Source organism: Homo sapiens, chromosome 2 (assembly GCF_000001405.40).
Source record: "Homo sapiens chromosome 2, GRCh38.p14 Primary Assembly".
NCBI lineage: Eukaryota > Metazoa > Chordata > Mammalia > Primates > Hominidae > Homo > Homo sapiens.
In genome coordinates, this window is record NC_000002.12 from 239471050 (window position 1) to 239491028 (window position 19979).

General features: G+C 52.6%; 1 annotated feature.

The window, feature by feature from the left end:
- Window positions 5134-6091: an enhancer, noted in NCBI's record as "H3K27ac-H3K4me1 hESC enhancer chr2:240397877-240398834 (GRCh37/hg19 assembly coordinates)". NCBI's record gives its function as "activates a minimal SCP1, AML or CMV promoter by ChIP-STARR-seq in naive H9 embryonic stem cells {active_cell/tissue: H9 hESC(naive)}" and the evidence as "EXISTENCE:reporter gene assay evidence [ECO:0000049][PMID:30033119]".

A 19979-nucleotide genomic window follows, 5' to 3' on the forward strand; every position in this document is an offset into this window, starting at 1 on the left:
TGCTTCTGAGACCTGTCAGCTGGTCTCCTGCCACCCACCCTCCTGCCCTCCTGGGCCAGCTCCTACTGTAGCCTCACCCCTACCCACAACACCCAGGATAGAATGGCTTCCTCAGGACCTCTGGGAGGTCACAGGCACCAAACCCCAGGCCAGCTAATGACCAATCCTGGGTGGGGCTGAGACCTTCCACCACGGAGCCTCACCTTCCTGATGAGCGTGAGCAAGGCGTGTCCAATCGCTGGTGCCATGTCTTCAGGTGCATTAGTCAGGGATCTCCAGAGAAAGAGAACCAGAAGATTTTTTTGCAGGTGCACACATGCACACACTTGCACACACACACATATGGAGAGAGAGAAAGGGAGAGATGTATTATGGGATGTGTTCCCACAATCATGGAGTCCAAGAAGTCCCATCAGCTGCTGCCTGCAGCTAGAAACCCAGGACTGCCAGTGGTGCAGCTCAGTCCACATCTGAAGGCCTGAGAGCCAGGAGTGCTGCTGTCCAAGGGTAGGAGAAGACAGGTGTCCCAGCTCAAACGGGAGGCAGGTTTACCCTTCTCTGCCTTTTTGTTCTATCTGGGCCCTCAACGGATGGTTGCTGCCCACCTATGCTGGGGAGGGCAGGTCTTCTTTACTCTGTCCACCAATCCAAATGCTAACCTCTCCCAGAAACACCTCACAGACACACCCAGAAATAAGATGTTCCGAGCTATCTGGGCGTCCCTTAGCCCAGTCAAGTTGACACAGAATTAGCTGTGGCATTAGAGTACCCATCATCCTGTCGGTCACAAGATATTGGGACATAAGAAATAACTCCTCCCTTCCTCTATTATTCTGAAGACCTAAGAGTTTTCAGCAGCAGAGTGGAAGGTTCGAACTGCCTGACTCAAGATTATTTTACTCTGGGAAAAAGAGGGTCTTCCTTATGACATTCTGTTGGGTGGTCTGGAATGTATTCTCTGGTCCCAAGGGATCACCAAATTATAAAAGTATGGTTGCACGCAAGCAGTTGGCTGGTCCTTTACAGTCTATGAGGTGCTTCTGCATATAGCACCTGGCGCATTCTTGCAGATAATCCACTGTGTACTCTTTCCCTTTTTTTTTTTTTTTTTGCTCTGTTTCTTTTTCTGCCCCACACCTGCGACACTGAGGTTTGAAAGGGCATCCTCCTCTTTCCCAGGAGCCCTCACAGTTTTCCGACCTGGTGTCCTCTATCTGTGCCGACCAACTGTTTTCCATTCAACACTTTGAAATTAAAATGAGTTTGTAGGGTTGTTTAAGCCATAGATGCATCAAGTGTAAGCCGTGTTTACATGGTAACTGGTGACCACTTAATTACATAGTAATTACAGCATAGCGGCAGGAGATCACACAGTAAGTGCTGTGTCATTAGCCCTGATTACTCCTGTCTTCCTGAGCGCAGGGAGGCTGCAGGGTAATTGCTTTTGGATCTTCCAAATGCGGGTGAGACAAATCCACAGCAGCCTGTAATTATCAAGCATGTATGTGGTGTGTATCGAGTAAGCAAATGTGGGTGTTGCCATGCAGAGTGAGCAAGATCAGAGTCCCGCTGGGGAGGCTCGGCCCCCTCAGCTCACAGCCCCGAGGGCAGCTGTCTCCACCATCCCCAAATTCATATGGCTCCTTTGCATCTTCAGGTCCAAAGAAGAGTTAAAGAACACAGTACCAGGATTGAGAAGCCCACATCTGATGTAGTCGTGTTTGTTGACGCCTACTGTGCGTGTGAATAGGCTGTATCCAGCAGGGAAAGAGGGAGAGAGAGAGAGAGGAGAAAGCATAGTCTATGTCCTTGAGGAGGCCCTGGGTTCCTGGAGGAGGTTGGTGTGTGAAAAAAACGCTTACAACGCAATGTGAAAAGTACAATAAAAGAGGCACAAACGTAAATCTCTGAGATCCCAGAGGATGAAGAGGGACCCTGCTTAGGGGAGTCACTTAGAACTTTCTGGAGGTAGCAATTGCACAGCGTCTTGAAGGATGAATAGGAGTTCGGTAAGAGGAAGAAGGGGTGAGAAGGACATGCTGGGTGGAGTTTCAGCTTCTTTTTCTGGAACCCTGAGTCCTGCAGCTCTCTCTTCGGTTCTGTGAGATCTTGAATGTGGTTTTCAGTGGTTGAAGGCAAAGAATTTCCTCTTGGGTCGAAGATGCTCTGAGTGTGGATTCTGTCAATCACCTGCAACTGAAATAGTCCCCATGAACATGCTGAGTTCAGGGCACTGTGAGAGGCGCACAGCAACTGGAGCCTGGGCACGGAGGGGACATGTTGTGCCTGGGTATTGAGGGAGAAAGTGAGGGTATCCAGACTACAGGATGACAAGGACAACTTAAAGTGGGGGTTACAGGACTGCTCAGTGCTAAAGACATTCTGAGACAGGCCAAGACATTCCCAACGTGCTGTGGGGTGAGCCCCTCACACCATTGGGCATTGTGCGCTTGGGTTCTCTTGCCTGTGCTTGGGAGCTCCAGGATACCCCCTTGATCATTATTAGAAGGACAAACCACACTGGGGACCAGGAGGTGCCCGATCTACACCCCAACTTCACCCCGGGGAGGGGCAGAAGGGCAGGCTCGGCGTCTCCTGGAACTGAACCTGGAGCATGGACTGCACAGCACACAGCCATGGACACTGGAAAGGGAGATCACATAGGACTTGGGGGTCTTGGGAAAAATGGGAAAGTACCCTAATGGCAATGGGAACACTTAAAAGGATTTGAAGCAGGGGAAGGGCATATCTTTTCAGAGCTGTCTCTGGCTGGTATGTAGGTTCCAAGGAGAGGACATTGGAGTGAAAGATCAGCTAGTAGGTCCCTGCAGGGTGGCGGGATGTAGGGCAGGCAGTGGCTGTCCTGTGGTGGCAGTGAGAAGGAGAGGTGTAGGCTCTTCTTTCGTGCTTTTCTTCCTCCCTCCTTTCTGTCTCTGTGGTCACTCCTCTGTCTCCCTTGTGAGCTCATCTTCTTCTGGCCTGCTACCGGATGCTAGGGTTCAGCCAGGCACAGCCCTGGGTCTCTTCCTTTCTCTCTCTATTGGCTCGCTCTGGGTAAGTGTATCTACACCCCCTGCCTCCAGTGCCACCTGCATGCTTATGGCTCCACATTTATTCTTCTGCCCAGATTCTTCTCTGAGCTTCCACTCTCTTGCCCACCTGCCCACTCAACGTCTCTTTGTGAATTTTTTAAAGGCACTTCAAGTCCTCTTCAAAGATTTCCTCCTTTAAATCATTGAAATGTTACTTGATGTCACCTCTAAAAGGCCATGAACAGTTTGGCCCTTGCCTGACTTTCTGACTTTCCAACAAAATTTCTTACCCTAGTCCCTCCTTTTCTGGGCACAGCAGCCACTTTTGTCTTCTTTCATCTCCTGGAATATGTTCATTCTCCTCATGACCACAGGGTATTTGCATATGCTGCTCTGTCTAGAAAGCTCTTTCCTCCTCTCTTAATTTCTTCTGTTTAGCTCTTCTTCCTCGTTCAGATCTTGGCCCAGGCACCGTTTCTTAGAGGACACTCATATGACTCCCCGGTCCAGGTCAGATTCCTTTGTTAGGTGCCTCTTATCACTGGGTTCCTTTTCTAGTTTGTAATTATACACCAGTCTGTGTGATCATTTGGTTACTATTTATCATGTTGTCTGGATCATATGCTTCAGGGGCCATATTTGTTTTTGCTAATCATGGAATCTTCATGGTTTCCCTGGTGTCTGGCACATAGTAGTCACTCAATAAATATTTGCCAGGTGAATTTGATAGGACTTGTGATGAATTGAGGGAGGAGAGATGGAGAACTGCTCATCTTCCATTCATTCATTAGCAAATATTCATGGAGTGCCTGCTCCGTCCCAAGCCTGTTGGAACAATCCTACCCACTTGGGGCTTACCTTGCAGAAGGGGATCCTTGGCTTCTGGCTGGAGCAGTCAACCTACCTGATGTGGCCTCTGACCCTTAGTCTAACTGCGATGGTCAATGCTGATTACCACTCAAGGAGGGTTAAAGTAATGTTAATGTTCTGACTGGCCAAGAAGTGGTCCAGAAACCCAGCTTTCGGAACTTTGAAGATACATTTCTTGGGGCCACTCAAATGTGACACTGTGCAGCCCCTTCTGGACCAGAACTTAGCCCTGCTAGTTCTGGGGAGAACACTCAGAAGGGTCAGAAGAGCGTGTGGGTTCTGGGTTCTGGGCAGAGGCCTCCAGAGTATGGCAGGCTCTGCATGGAACAGGCACCTCGCCTGGGAGTCACTGTGGGCCAGGCCAGCAGAGCTGATGGGCCTTTCTGTGTCTGGGTGGGATTTCAGGGAGCAGCCTTGGGCCACGCAGGCTTCCATGGGGACATCTGCCAAGGGGACAGAGGTTGAGGTCCTCTGTTGGCATACCCAGAGCTTGCCCACTCCCCTGGGCTTCCCTTGGTAGAGGACTGGCAGGGAGGCAGCAGGTGGAGGGCTGCCTGGTTACCACTTCCCAGTTCTCACCCATGTTCTCCTTGTGAGTGACTGTTCTGGGGTGCACACACCTGTGTGAGGGCCCAGGGCGGCGTCTCCATCCTGGCCTGGAAAGCCCTCTGGGGTGTGTGTTGGCAGTCAAGGCTGTTGGTAGCAAGGTCTGGGCCCCAGGGCTGTGGAGAGGCAGGCTGCAGCTTCTCACTTGGGGATGGCCTGGGGAGGCAGTGGCAGCCGTTTCAGTTTGGAGGATGTCCCAAGGGTGGGGGGCTTCTCTGTCCTCCCCTCATGCACCAGTAAATGCGACAAAATCCCTCCGGGGCATCTGCCTTCCTGGAGCGAAGTGGGCTTCTGCTCTGTGGCAGCAAGGGCCTCCCTCACTGAGCACCAGGTCGGTTCCAGCAGGGCTTTGGCCCCAGGAATCCTTCCACGGAGGACCTGAAGGCAGCCCGGTATGGCCCCCTCCCTGGCAGCCAGAGAGTGGAGTGCGTGGCTCACTGGGCTCTGGATTTATGTAACTTGGAGCTGAGCCTCATGGGTCCTCCTTCCTGGTATATGTGGGAAATGGCTCTGGATTTTTCTGGTGATGGCCAAGAGAGAGAGCTTGAGACAGGCAGGGGCAGGTGTGCTGAGGGATGCTGCAGGCCAAGAGCCTCGCCTGGCCTTCGAACCACATCAGAGTGTAGACCTCCCTGGACATGGCACGGAGACTCGAGGGCGCCGTCCATGTGTCTGTGTGGCCCTAGCAATGGACTTGGCGGGGGGAAGCAATTCACACAAAACACCATGCGCCCCTCTCACTGGGCTGGAGTAGGGTAAACTGCAGTGCTCCCCACACAGACTGTTCCCACTGAGATTCCCAGCATCAGAGGAGCTGGAAGGAGGGATCCAGCTGCGGGCTTCAAGGACCCTGGAGGGCTGAGGTGAAGAGGACAAGGTTGACAGCCCAACGTTAGCAGGGACATGGCCCAAGGTCAGCAGGGAGACAGCCCTGGGTCAGCTGGGGGATAGCCCAAGGTCAGCAGGGAGATGGTCCAAGGTCAGCAGGGAGACGGCCCAAGGTCAGCTGGCGGACAGCCCAAGGTCAGCAGGGAGATGGTCCAAGGTCAGCTGGGGAACAGCCCAAGGTCAGCAGGGAGACGGCCCAAGGTCAGCTGGCGGACAGCCCAAGGTCAGCAGGGAGATGGTCCAAGGTCAGCTGGGGAACAGCCCAAGGTCAGCAGGGAGATGGTCCATGGTCAGCTGGGGGACAGCCCAAGGTCAGCAGGGAGATGGTCCAAGGTCAGCTGGCGGACAGCCCAAGGTCAGCAGGGAGATGGTCCAAGGTCAGCTGGGGGACAGCCCAAGGTCAGCAGGGAGATGGTCCAAGGTCAGCTGGCGGACAGCCCAAGGTCAGCAGGGAGATGGTCCAGGGTCAGCTGGGGGACAGCGCGAGGTCAGCTGGGACACAGCCGGTGGTCAGCAAGGAGCAACAGTGATGTGGGAGAGGTCCAGGAGCAGAGAGTGAGGGGCCTGTGCCTTTAGCCAGTACAGCAGGAATCCGTGGTGGGTCCTGGTGGTTGTTGGGGGGACTCCGTGAGGGAGGCGGTGTTGGAGATGGACTGAAGTGAGGCGGGGCATGGCCCATGGAGGGATAAGGGAGGCAGAAGGGGCCGTGTAGGGAGCACCTAGGCTGTGGGGTATGCAGAAGGGGCGCTTGGTGAAAAGGCTGCTGGGAGGGTTGGCAGCTGTTGGGGGAGGTTCTTGCTGCAGAGCTGGGGTTTGGTTTGGAAGGCAACAGGGAGCCACTGAGGGCTCTAGAGCTGCAGCGGCGTGACTGCACTGTGCATTAGGAAAGTCAGTCTGGAACCTGAGGACTGCACACACAGCTCTTCTCTCTCAGCACTGCACGCCGTGCACGAGCCGGGCGGTGTCCCCGTGTGCACAGGCCCGCTTCTCGGGGCTGCTGCTGATCCAGTTTAAACAGGTCTACTGAAATAGGTCACTCTCGAAAGCAAGCGGACTTAATTGTTACAAGGCAAAAATGGAAACGAGGTGAATCTCTGAAGAATCAATCATTTATTAATAATTCCTCCGTTTTCAGATTGAAAAATACTTAGATTACCTTTTGCCTCAGTTTAGGAAGGGGAACGTTGCATTTCCGGCACAGGGTGGCGAGAGGCTGACGGTCCACACGGGAAGTCTGTGCCCACCCCCACCCCACCCCTACCGCACCTCCGTGATCTTGCTTGTGACCCGTCCCCTTCCCAAGGTCAGGACGGAGGTGGGGCTGGGCTCCAGCCTGCATGGGGGCCTGGAGGGCCGGGCCGTGCGTTGTCTTGTGGAAGCAGCTGTGCGGCGCTGTGGAAAACGTGACAGTTTCTCCAAGAGTTTCACATGCAATCACCATGAGGCCCAGCAAGCCCACGCCTAGGCAGACACCAAGGAAGCGAAAACAGACTCTGCTCATGACTGTTCGTAACAGCACTGAGCGCAACAGCCAGAATTCAGGAACAACCCAAATATCCATCGACAGAAATGAGTAAACACATTGTGGCTCAGCCACGCGATGGGACGTGATTCCGCCACGGAAAGAATGCAGTGCTCAGTGAAGCCCCGTCTCCACTAAAAATACAAAAAATTAGCCGGGCGTGGTGGCGGGCGCCTGTAATCCCAGCACTTTGGGAGGCTGAGGCAGGTGGATCACGAGGTCAGCAGATGGAGACCATCCTGGCCAACACGGTGAAAACCTGTCTCTACTAAAAATACAAAAATATAGCCAGGCGTGGTGGCGGGTGCCTGTAGTCCCAGCTACTTGGGAGGCTGAGGCAGGAGAATGGCGTGAACCCAGGAGGTGGAGCTTGCAGTGAGCGGAGATTGCACCACTGCACTCCAGCCTGGGTGACAGAGCGAGACTCCGTACCCCCTCACCAAAAAAAAAAAAAAAAAAAGAATGCAGTGCTGATTCCTCCTGCAACGTGGATGAACCCTGAAGATGCTCTGGCGAGTGATGAAGCCAGTCCCCAAAGGCCACATACTGTAGGATTCCATTTATATGAAATTTCCAGGACAGGCAAACCCACAGAGGCAGGAAGTGGATCAGAGGCTGCCTCAGGCTGAGTGGAAGGGAAAATGGGGTGTAGAACTTAACAACTTTCCTTTTGGGGTGGTAAAAGTGTTTTGGGCTGGGTGTGGTGGCTCACCCCTGTAATCTCAGTACTTCAAGAGGCTGAGGCAGGAGGGATGCTTGAGCCTAGGAGTTTGAGACCAGCCTGGGCAGCACAGCCAGACCCTGTCTCTACAAAAAATAAAAAATAAAAAATTAGCCAGGCGTGATGGCACACACCTGTGGTCCCAGCTACTCTGGAGGCTAAGGTGGGAGGATTGCTTGAACCCGGGAGGTCGAAGCTGAAGTGAACTATGATTGCACCACTGCACTCCAGCCCTGGTGACAGAGTGAGACCCTGTCTCAAATAAATGTTTTGGAATAGAGAGAGGTGGTGGTTACAAAGCATTGTGACTCTCCTAAATGTCACTGAATTGTATATTTAAAATGGTCATTTTTCTGTTGTATGAGTTTTACCTCAATCAAAAAAACCAGAGCCTGGCTGGGCGCGGTGGCTCACGCCTGTAATCCCAGCATTTTGGGAGGCCAAGGCGTGCAGATCATGAGGTCAGGAGATTGAGACCATCCTGGCTAACACGGTGAAACCCCATCTCTACTAAAAATACAGAAAATTAGCCGGGCATGGTGGCAGGCACCTGTAGTCCCAGCTACTCGGGAGGCTGAGGTAGGAGAATGGCTTGAATCCGGGAGGCGGAGCTTGCAGTGAGCGGAGATGGCACCACTGTACTCCAGCCTGGGTGACAGAGCGAGACTCCATCTCAAACAAACAAACAAACAAACAACAAAACAGAGCCTGTAACCGTGGCACCTTGCAGAGGTTTTGGAGCCTGCACGGGGTGGGGGCACAGGCAGGTCCACGCCCAGGCATGGTGCCCACCTGGGACAGGCTTGGGGGCTAGCTGGGGGAGAGAGCCCCCGTGGCAGGGCTGTAGGAACACTGAGTAGGGGTCCACACTGGGAGGCTGTGCTGGGGTCCCTCTCAGTCACCACAGGGTCCCCCACAGGGCCTGTGTGTCCCTCTCCTGCTCTCTGTCTCCGGATGGGGCCACTCCTGGGAGCTGGGGTTGAATTTCTCCATCTTCAGCATGGGGCCTGACTCAGGGTGCATGAGGAGGTTGGGGATCTTGCAAGGTGGGGAATCTATGTCTTGGAGGTCTCCATATTGCAGGCGCCCTGCTCCCTACACAAGGACAGTGCAGAGCTGTCTAGGGACACAACCGTTGTCCTCTCTGCTAGTGGCCCAGGGTTGCCTCGTGGAGGAAGAAGACCAGGCCCAGAGGGAGCTTCGGAGCTGGGCGCACACCACCCACGTCCCCTGGGGCCCTTGAGGGACTGTGCTCCACACCCCTCTTCTTGAAACTTAAAAATAATTCTGAAGTAGGTATTACATGCCAGGCGATATATTTAACATGTAGGTAATGACACCTAATAGGAGGAAGAAACTCTAGGAGCCTGGAACCAACCTAAGAACTAGCAGGGCATTCTGCAGTCGTTCCAGGCACCGTGGCAACGTGTTAGACACACAGGTTCTTGGCCCTCCAACCCCCAGGCCCGTGAAGCAGAGGCTCTGGGGACACCCGTGACCTCCTGTCCATCCGATGTGCACCCAGGCACCAGGCCCTTTGAGGGAGGGCAGCCCCTCCATCTCCCCCCGGGTCTCGGCATGGGAGCTCCTGTGGGGAGGGCTCCCGGCTCGGCCCCAAGCTCTCCTGTTCAGTGCTACAGGGCTTCCTGAGGGTTGGGGCCATCACCTCCCATGGTGCCCAGGACCATGCTCTCCTTAGACCTGGGTGGTGGAGAAGGGAGCGCCGGCAGCCTCCAGCCTTAGGCAGCCTCCTCTAGTTGCCCCCACATGCCGCATGGTACAAGCACCTCCTAGAAAGGTTTGCAGCCCTGAGCCAGCTACTCCTCACATAGCCACCATCATGGTGGTCAGGAGGAGTGAGACTGAGCCTGGCCCTTGGGCCCCAGCCCCATGCTATGAATCCCCCCATCTCAGAATGGCCCCTCAAACGATGCAGGTGCATGCACGCCAAGCCTCCACTCCCATTCTTCCTGCCTCTAGCCCCCACCTTTGCTCCATCGACCATTTTCAAAAGTGATCCTGCACCTGCCCATTCCTGCCCACTCCACACCCGCCACCTTAGTTACTTCCAGCCCTGGGCCCTCTCCTCCAGAGAACTGGGGGTGCCTCTGGCTTTTCTTCTCTCCGGATCCCACTGTTTGCTTAGTTGCTAGAGTGTTCTTTAAATTTATTTATTTATTTATGAGTCTCGCTCTGTCATCCAGGCTGGAGTGCAGTGGCGTGATCTTGGCTCACTGCAACCTCCGCCTCCCAGGTTCAAGTGATTCTCCTGCCTCAGCCTCCCAAGTAGTTGGGATTACAGGCACATGCCACCATGCCCAACTAATTTTTATATTTTTAGTAGAGACGGGGTTTCACCATGTTGGTCAGGCTGGTCTCGAACTCCTGACCTCAGGTGATAGGCCCACCTGGCGGATGTATGTATACGTGGCTAAATGTATATAGCATAAAGTGTCCCATTTTAACCATTTCTGAGTGTACAGTTCAGTGGCACTAAGCACATTCACTCTGTTGTGAAACCATCACCGCCATCCATCTCCTGAATTGTTCATCTTCCCAAACTGAGACTCTGTCCCAATCAAACATGAATTCTCCATCCCCTGCCCCGGCAGCCCCTCTTCTACTTTCCACCTCGGTGAATCTGACCACTCCAGGGATCTCCTATGCGTGGAATGGCGCAGTGTTTGCATTTTGTGCCTGGCTTATTTCACTTAGCACGATGGCCTCAAGATCCATCCGTGCTGTAGCATGGGTCAGAGTTTCCTCTCGCCTCGAGACTGAGCATGATTCCATCCATGGCTGGGCGGCCTCTGTGGATCCATCCATCTGTCCGTGGATGGGGGCTGCTTCCCGTCTTTGCTTCTTGTGAGCAAAGCTGCTGTGAACATGGGGGAACCCATATCCGCTTGGGTTGCTCTTCTCAGTTCTTTTGAGTAGATATGCAGAAGGGCAATTGCTGGATCAAATGGTAATTCCATGTTTAATTTTTTGAGGAACGTCCCTGCTGTTTTCCATAGATATTTTTTTGTAGATCCCAAATCCAATCACATGACTCCCCAGTTCAAATGCCAAGGCCTCTGGTTGGGTCCCAGCTGGATTTTCACCCTCTCATTCCTGCTCATGCCACTCTGGGCATCTTGTCGCCCTCATTCCTGTCTCAGCCCTGAGGATCCACAGCTGGCTCTGCCTGCAGGGCTCTGAGCTCCTGCTCCTCCTGCTCTGTCCAGAGCCACGCCCCGCTGCTCTTCTCCTTCCCTGCTGCTCCGCGCTCTTCCCTCACAGCACGATGGTTCCCTGGCACCGTGTGTCCACCAGTTCCCATTTCTCTCCTGTCCTAGGGCAGATTTGCCCAGAGGGACATGACCTGTTCATGGTTGCCTTTGCTTTGCAGGCCTGGAAGTGGGCACAGACATTTGTCAAAGAAAAGAAAGAATGGGCAAAGATAGCTGAAGAAATTACGTGCTATGAAGACAAGCGTAATATGAGTAAAATTTCTTTCTAAACAGAGTGGTCATTTTGATCTGTGATTACATTTTTAGAAATTGCTGTTTGAAAGACAGTTCTGTAATTGGAATCGTGACTTAGGGACTCTGAGGACCCCTCAGGAGATCTGTGTTAGACAAACAGGGTTTCTGTGGGCGGGAAGGACGCCCCCCCAATCCTGAGGCTGCAGCTCTTGGAATAGTGACTTAGAGACTCTGAGGGCCCCTCAGGAGATCTGTGTTAGACAACCAGGGTTCCCATGGGTGGGAAGAATTTCACCGGGAATCCCGATGCTGCAGGTCTGTCGAGGCCGGAGCCTGGGTGTGCTCAGGATGGGGCCCTCCTGCAGGGAACCATCTTCAGCACCATCCTGGGGGATGTCGTGATGTTTTGCATATCGATTTTTGGTAAGAATTTTTTCTGTGACTTCTCAATTTAGGGGAATCTCTTCTGAACATGAAGTTGAGGCTGGTGGGTGGTGAACTGCTTCCAATCAATTATAAATCTATTTTGAATCCATCAGATCACTACACTCCTGGGAACATGCCTTCTCCTGACCTGCCTGATTAATCTTGTGTTTTCAACGGATTTGTCTCAGTAAAATGCACATTACAGTGATTATCTGAACTTTGTCCTATTGATATAAATACTTAGTGTTTGTGCCAAGTCGTAACCATGGTGAGTATATGCAACATTAAGTAAACTTGTTTCCCTGACAATCTCTGTGTCAGTAGGCATATTGTTCATAGTGCATTAAAAAATAGCGTATGGATACTACTCAGACCCCACCACTCACGGTATGAGTCATTTTCTTAGCAACCGGAATGCAGCTGTGCCTTGCCTTCAGGTACACCGTGGAAGGAGGAAGGGAAGGAGCGCTGGCCAGGCAGATGGAGAGACGCACAGTTACCACCTCCGCCCAGGCTACTTCCGGGCGTGCCACAGGGGCCCGGCCCTGCCTTCAGCATCTCCAGAGGTGGAGCTGACGGTGGGGTCCTCGTTGGACATCAGATTCCACACTGAGATGAGCCTGGGAAGCAGCCAGGGCCAGAGAAGACAGCACGAAGCACGCAGGCGTCAAGGCGACCTCCGGCATTCCCTGGGACCTATCGTGCGTCCGCCCGCAGACATTCCTCAACAGAGATCTGTGATTTAAAACACTACCTCGGTGGTTCGTGAGTGTCAGGATTCATGCTAAGCAGGCGCCCTCCTCGGGACACATGGATGGTGCGTTCTCTTGTACAGTAGGAGAGGCCCCTGGGCTCTGATCAATGTCAGAGGCGGGGTCTCCCCGTGGGGCTGTGGGGGCGGCCAAAGGCCAAGGCCCACTTCAGGTCCCTCCTCTCAGCAGCAGCCACTGTGTCCAGAGAAACTCACAGCTCGGGACTGAGCCTCGGGATGGTGGCCTGTGCTTGAGAGCCCCCTCCGGGTAGAGTCGTGGCTGCTCCATCCGAGGACCTCTGCGGTGGTGGGATGGACAAAAATGCCGGGAATTTAACCTGCAGTTCTGCTAGAAGATTTGATAGATGGGCTGCGGCCCCTTTAGCAGGCGTGGCAGCACTAGCATTTCCTGCCCATTCAATGAATAGTCCCCGTGCTGAGCATTTTACTTGTAAATAACCAAAGAATCACAAGAAGCATCAAGAAGGACAGCCCATAGAAGTATTAACCAGCAAGAAAAAGTTTTGGATCAAAAAAAGTTTTTTCTAAAATGGGGGAAAAAAAGCAATAAATTGGAACCCGCCACCCGCAACCCTCATCTCAAATGCTTCTCCAACAAGAATGGGTACTAGGCTTAATACCTTCGTGACAAAGTAATCTTTACAACAAACCCCTGCGACTCGAGTTTACCCCATAACAAACCTGCACGTGTGCCCCTGAACTTAAATAAAGGGCGCCTCCGGGGGTCATCTCCGTCATCATTAGACGGCACACCTGCCGGAATCGACCGTGCCCAAATCCCAGTGAATGAAACACATGATAAACTCAGACAATGAATACAGAACAAAAGGAGGAAAAATAAATGTAAATGGAGGAGCGAGATTCAGAAGCGGAACGGAGCCTGGAGAGTAAGAGAGCTAAGCTGCAAGCCACCGCAGCTCCTGCAGAAGAAGCGAGGCAGACGGCCCGGAAACCACGGTGCTGTCGTCGAGGGCGATTCTGGAACTGGAAAAATAACTAAGATTGGAAAAGGAGGGCTTGTGGAATCCTGAGTCAGCAGCAACTGAGGTGACAGGAGGCGTCCTTGGAAGGTGTTTCGCCACAGGGAGGATCTGTAGGAGCTGAGGGCAATGCACTGGTCCCTGAGCAGTCCCCAGCCAGCCACCAACCAACCCATGGTGCTTCCTAGACATTCCTGGAATGAAAGACCAAACACATCAGAAAGGTCTGGGGCTATCTGGTGAGACAAATAAAAGGAGAAGGTGGCAGAATGACATCTATGGGGAAAGTGGCTCCATGTCCACTGATGATGCCATCTAGACGCAGAGGCCATGGGAAGCGTTTCTCGCATGAATGCCCACCAGATACCCACATTCCTGAGCCGGGCACCACTGCCGATGAGGTAATGGGCACTGGCAAGCAAATCAACCCCCAAACTTAACCGAGCAGAGGCTGGTGAGGAGAGACAGCTTGGAGAGCCGCTGGTGTCGCGAAGGTCAGGTCACGCACGCTGGGGTGGTGAGGACAGCTTCGAAGCTTTAGACTTGCTTTTCACAAAAGGCTGGAGGAAAGACTTTTTTAAATGAGAAAGATACACGTATAAAGAGAATTAAGAAATTTTGCAGAATCCTTTGGTGTTTCCATCAGTGGAGTTACAAGCAGGATTTACTTTGTAGATTTGTGCAACAGTTACAAGGGCACGGGGACACTGGGGGAATGACTGAGAAGGCAGGACAGGACCAGGCCTAGCCATCGGTGAACAAGGCGACGCTGAGCCCTGCGTTAGGGGGAGGCAGCCCCAGAAAGGAGACATGGCGAGGAGGGGAGGGAGGGCTTGGTGGCCGAGGCTGCAGCTTGCTGACTGGCCCTGGCGCCTGGCCTGGCCCGAAGGCCCCATCTTCTCAGCCTTCTCAGCCACTGCTGGGAAAGGGCAGGGCAGGATGGGCCTGAGTAGGTGGAGGATGGAGCTGGGACAGGGCCTTATGGGATTCATCATGCTCTGTCTGTCACTACCTGAAATTCTCCATTGTATTAACCTGTTCTCATGCTGCTGATAAAGACATATCCAAGACTGGGTAATTTATAAAGAAAAATAGGTTTAATGGACTCACAGTTCCATGTGGCTGGGGAGACCTCACAATCATGGCGGAAGGGAAAGGCATGTCTTCCATGATGGCAGACACGAGAGAATGAGAACCAAGGGAAAGGGTAAACCCCACATAAAACCTTCAGATCTCATGAGACTTATTCACTACCATGAGAATGATATGGGGGAAACTGTCCCCATGATTCATTTATCTTCCACTGGGTCCCTCCCACAACATGTGGGAATTATGGGAGCTACTATTCAAGATGAGATTTGGTTGGGGACACAGCCAAACCATATCATCTGTCATATGAAGCAAGCTCTGTGCACAAAGCAGCCAGAAGGGTCCTGGAAGACACCAGAGAGAAGCTGGCTGAAGAGGATCCAGCTGGGCTGTGGTGTCAGCCAGGGACATGGGATCCTGGCAGGGGTGGTCCCTGTGGCTGGCTCCAGGACGGCATCAGGACCAGCACCACTGGGGCGAGGATTTGAGCAGCCTGTGGCATGGTCCCTGGGACTAGGCCCTGAAGACCAAGCCAAGGAGTGCCTCCTCCACATCTGTTTTATTCCTTTAATAAAGGGAAAGTCGCTGCTTGCCTGTTTCCAAATGAGAGAATGCTGGAGATTTATTTTCTACAGAAAGGTGTAAAGTGAATAGGAAGTATTATTTCAGAGAACTCGTACAAGGTAATTATTTATGAATGTATTACCCACCATCTGGTTTACCACGCTGGTTCATGGGGTAATGATTTTTATAATTACCTGTGTTTAGAAATACCTTCACGCAAAGAAGTAAACATGCCTCCTACTGAGAATAGCAACAGTCTTGCCTCTTCCATAATCAGTGAGCTTTTCTTCGGCCAGAGCCTAAGATTATTTTTGTTTTCTCAGGAGCAATGTGGGACAGAGAAGGCTCAGGGCTGGGGTTCAGCAGCCAGGGGGATTCAAGGCCAGTTTCTACGCTGGGCTCCTGAAGTGTCCTCAGCACCATACTTTCCGGGTACTGACCAGGGCCACCATGGGGGAGATCAGAGCAGACCCCACCAGCGTGCACAGAATTCCCTCCACTCTGCACCTGTGGGTCCAGTGGCCCCATGGCCCCTTGAGCCGGTTCTCGCCATGGCTGCCAGGGAGCTCCAGGCTCGAAGGCAGGCTGCCTGGTCCCCCACCACCCTCTCCCTACCTGCTCGGACCTCCTCCTGGTGTCTAGGGTGGTCTGGTCTGGAACCTTAGTTGACTGTCATCTATAGTGAAAGTCCCTAAGTGAGTGGGACTGAAATGTAGGCAGGAAAGGATGCAGATATGAGAGAAATGAAGCAAAAGCAGGTTGAGTTTGAAGATCTGTTCTTTATTCTGGAATGTTGTCTTTCTTACTTCTGCTGTTAAAGTGTTCTTTATAAATTGATGGGGGACTTCTGATTTAAAAATGGTCATTTCCTGCCCTCCCTCAAAAACCTGTGTTGGTTTTCCAAATTAGCCCTGTGTGTGCGTGGGGTGTGGGAGGAAGCCCTGGGCCCATGACGGGGCCAGGCCTGGGCCCACAGGCCCACCATGAAACCCTCAACTTCACAGCCACAGCAAGCCATACACCCAGGGCCGTGAACAGACATGGGGGTGAGGTGGGACCCCGGAGCCAATTCTAATCTTGGAGGGCGGTCCATGGTGGGTTTCATTTGAGATGCTGATGGCAACATCCAAGACAGGCCAGGACTGAGGACTTCACAGGGAACCAGAGGGCTCGGTGACTTTGAAGTCGAGCTGACCCCTAGGGCGGGAGCCAGCGAAGGGCTGAAAGGAGGGACACGGGACAGTAGAGGAGGGACAGGAGAGAAGAGCTGGGCGTGTTTACAGCCATGGCACTGGTGCCACAGCATGACACTTGTTTGGTAAAAACTGAGTGAGGCCAGGGCGGCAGGTTCCTGCAGGTGGCCACCCTGGAGGCGCTGCCAGGACATGGGCAGGCCCTGTGGCCCAGCCGTGGGGAGCCCGTGTGGCTGGGCGGGTCCCTTGGCTTCCCTGTGTCTCCATACCTTCGTCCCATTCTTTCCTCCCTGAAGTGGGGTTCGTGGCAGGGTCAGCCTCCTCGGGGAGCCCCCTGCTCATGTCTGAGTGCCTGGCTCAGGCACACACATGCATATACACACATGTGTGCGTGCCCACCCATGGGAGCAGGAGTGCACGTGTGCAAAGGGACCGCCACTTTGTCTGGAGATAATTTGCTTGACTCTAAAGAAAGATCAGGATCTTCAAAGCCGAGGCGTCAGGAGCAGGGCGAGCCTCAGGCCGTCGTGCCACTGGGCCAGGGGCCCACCCCTCTCCTCTTTCTCTTCCTGTCCCCCTCCCATGCATATTTAGCTGCTGCAAATAAATATTATAATATATGCTACAGATGCATCGTATAAATAATATAAACACATATTTCAGGGTTAAGCCTCTGACCCTGTTTGGTATTCTGTGTCTCCTACAACAGGGGAAGTCGTCTCCCCAGAATTTCAGGAAACGCCTTCTTGTTCTTAGTTGAAATCTGTATTTTCTAAGAGCAGTTTGTGCATGACCCAGCCGTGAATATGTGCCTTTAGTGCAAGTTTCTCAGCTTGTCCTTTGGCCACGATGCCCAGCTTTGTGCTGATAAACACGCGTTTTCTCCTGACCTGGGCTCACGCTTATGACCTGGCCTTTCTGACTGGCCGGCTCCTTCAGGACTCCACGGTGAAATCAGCACAAGTCAGCTCCAGGGCACCCACTGGGCTGGACACAGCAGCATTAGGGCTGTAGGCAGGTAATGCCCAGTACAGGGCGAATGCAGGGATATGGCACCTGCCTCTGTCTTGCAGCCCTGGATGGGAAATGCCAGGGCTTAGCAAGACCAGCTGAGGCAGAGAAGCGGCTGGCTGGGATTCAAGGCTGCCTTCCTTTGTCGAGTGAGTCTGCATTGCAGGATTACACGGAGTCAAACTCACAATGGGAGCACTTATGGAGCACTTGCTGTGTGCCAAGCAGTTTGTAAAGCGTGTTAAGCACTTCTACACCGGTGCACCTCAGGGCAGTCATGTGGAGCAGAGGCTGTTTTTACCCAGCTTTAGAGAAGAGCCGGGTTGAGTGGCCTGCACACCATCACGGGGTGGGGACTGCTTCATTTCACTGCAGACTTCTCTGCCCCAAGAGCCTGGGCTCTGGCAGCGTCAGTGCGTGTGGGTACCATATTTATAAATATATAAGCACTTCTCAGCTCAATCCATGCCGTAGCTTCTCAACCACAGCATGCTGAGCGAGTTTGCAGCCCCGCTCACTCTCTGGGGTCACAGAGGAGAGGCTTCGACTCTCAGCCCAGGGTTTCATGGCTGCTGATTCTGATGAAAGCCCAGTGAACAGAGAGCAAATCCCGTGGCTCATGAAAAAAAAAGCCAGTGGTTAAGTCAATGTACACCAAATCCACAAATCTGTGTGTGTGTAAGAGGAGGCACTTGCCTTCCGGTGCTCTTTCCCCGTTCGACTTCACTTTGAAAGTCACGGCAAAATCATGGTGACCTCAGGGTTGGCTTGACCAGGGAGCTCGGGCCAGGAGGAGCCACCCACTCTCCCATTCATCTGCTTGTCCTCCCAATCCATTCACACCTCTGTCCACACATCCAATCACCCACTGATAAAGGATTGGTCCGAAAAACCCTCTCTGAGACCTTATTGTGCGACAGGCATTGTCTGGATCTGAAGATCCGGAATGCCCCAGCCTCAGCCCCTCCCCATGAGGGACTCACTGTTTCCTGCAGAAATTGGACAAACACACAAATAACCCCAATATAATGAGATAAGAACACAGATGGCTTAGAGTTAGGTTTAGGGTTAGGCATAATTAAGGAAGCAGATGGGGAAATTCAAGTTAAAATTCAGTAAAATTTTAATTAAAAGATTATGTATTTTTACCCTAAGATCTTTTAAAGATGAGCTCAAATTTCAGGTCCCTGCCTCCCCCTCCTTGTCCCCAGCAAGCACACAGCTCTGAATTCAATCTGCTCTGAGCTGTGTGCACGTCCTCCATGCTGGGATCTGTGGTCTGGCTGCCCACACCCCACTCACACCCTGGAGAGTTTGACTCTATCACTCTGTCCCTTGTCATTGGCCCCAGCTGGACAGATACCCACACACAATTTGCCCTAAGAGGATGAGAAAACCAAAGGCAGGATGTGGAGGAGAAAGGAGAGCAGCTGGAGAGACAAGCGTGACTTGGACTTGCCCTGGTGCAGCAGAAGGGAGACGTGGCCTCTGGCTCCTGGCTGGTCCATGCCTGTCTCTAGGTGCTGGGCTGCACCCCTCCCGAATGTGCTGGGGTGTCTCTCTCTGCCATTGTTTCTGGTGATCTGCCCCAGGCCACAGCCTGGAGCTCTCTTTGCCTGGAGGGGGCTGAGCAGGGGGCTGTATACCAAGGTCCCTGAAATCCTTGGCCTTGGGGTTGTTTCTGATGCTCTGAGATACACCAAACTGATGAGAGCAGAAGATGGGAGCAGGGAGAGGCCCTGTGCTGCCCTGCCTGGGGCAGTGCTTCTCAGTGCCCAGCTTCCTGGGGGTGTTCGTCACACTGCCCTTTTCAAGTTTACTTGCTGTGGCTGCGGCTCTCTCTCCAGCAGGGGATGAATCTGTTTGCAGAATATTCGCTCCCCTCTGTGCCTGTCCTTGTATTTGGGCAAACTGTGTTCTTCAAAGCTCTTTTCCAAGTCTTGTATGACCCTTCATCAACCAGACTCCAGTGGGCTGGCCCTACTATCCTACTTGTCCATCTGTCCTCAAAAAGTCTAGGATCCTAGAAAAACATGCAAAAGGACACACTGTAGTCCACTGATGCATTATTTGATCAATTGATCCATTGATCCATCCATTGATCCATCCATCCATCCATCCATCCACCCACCCACCCATCAATCTATCCATCCATCCACTCATCCATCCATCCATCCACCCATCCACCCACCCATCCATCCATCTGTCCCATCCATCCGTCCATCCATCCATCCATCCACTCATCCACTCATCCATCCCTCTATCCATTCATCCATTCACTAAAACTTCCTTCAGCAAAGAATGGATTTATTCCCTCAAAAAAGTAGTAGGACGGTCTACCACAAAATATCTCTCCACTTCTTTAAATAAGAGGATTTTTAAAGATCAAGGACAACCATGTGAAACATTAGCTGCTTTTATTGGACATCTATCATGGGTCTCCATTATACTGAAACTTGATCTTTTTTTTCACATATTGCCCACAATTTTCTTGCAAAATTAATGGCTTAAAATTTTTTGAGATGAGAATACTGAGTTAGATAGGTGCTGGAAGGCTTGTACAAGGGGTGGCCCAGCTAACGAGAGGTGTGGTCAAGATAGGAACTGGGTTGGCTTTCCCCGGCTCCACTGCCTTCTGGAGAAGAAACCTCAATCAGAACCCACCTTGAAAAATGTATTTCAGGAGGATTAGCCAATGCTGTAAAGGTGGCGTTTGCTCTTACCTTTCAGTTCCTCATGCTAGTATTAGTGATAATGTAGTGATCTTGATGGTGGTGGGGGGTGTGGGCTGAGAATGCCCTTGACCTAAGGCTACTTCCTGGTGGGCACACAGGCTTC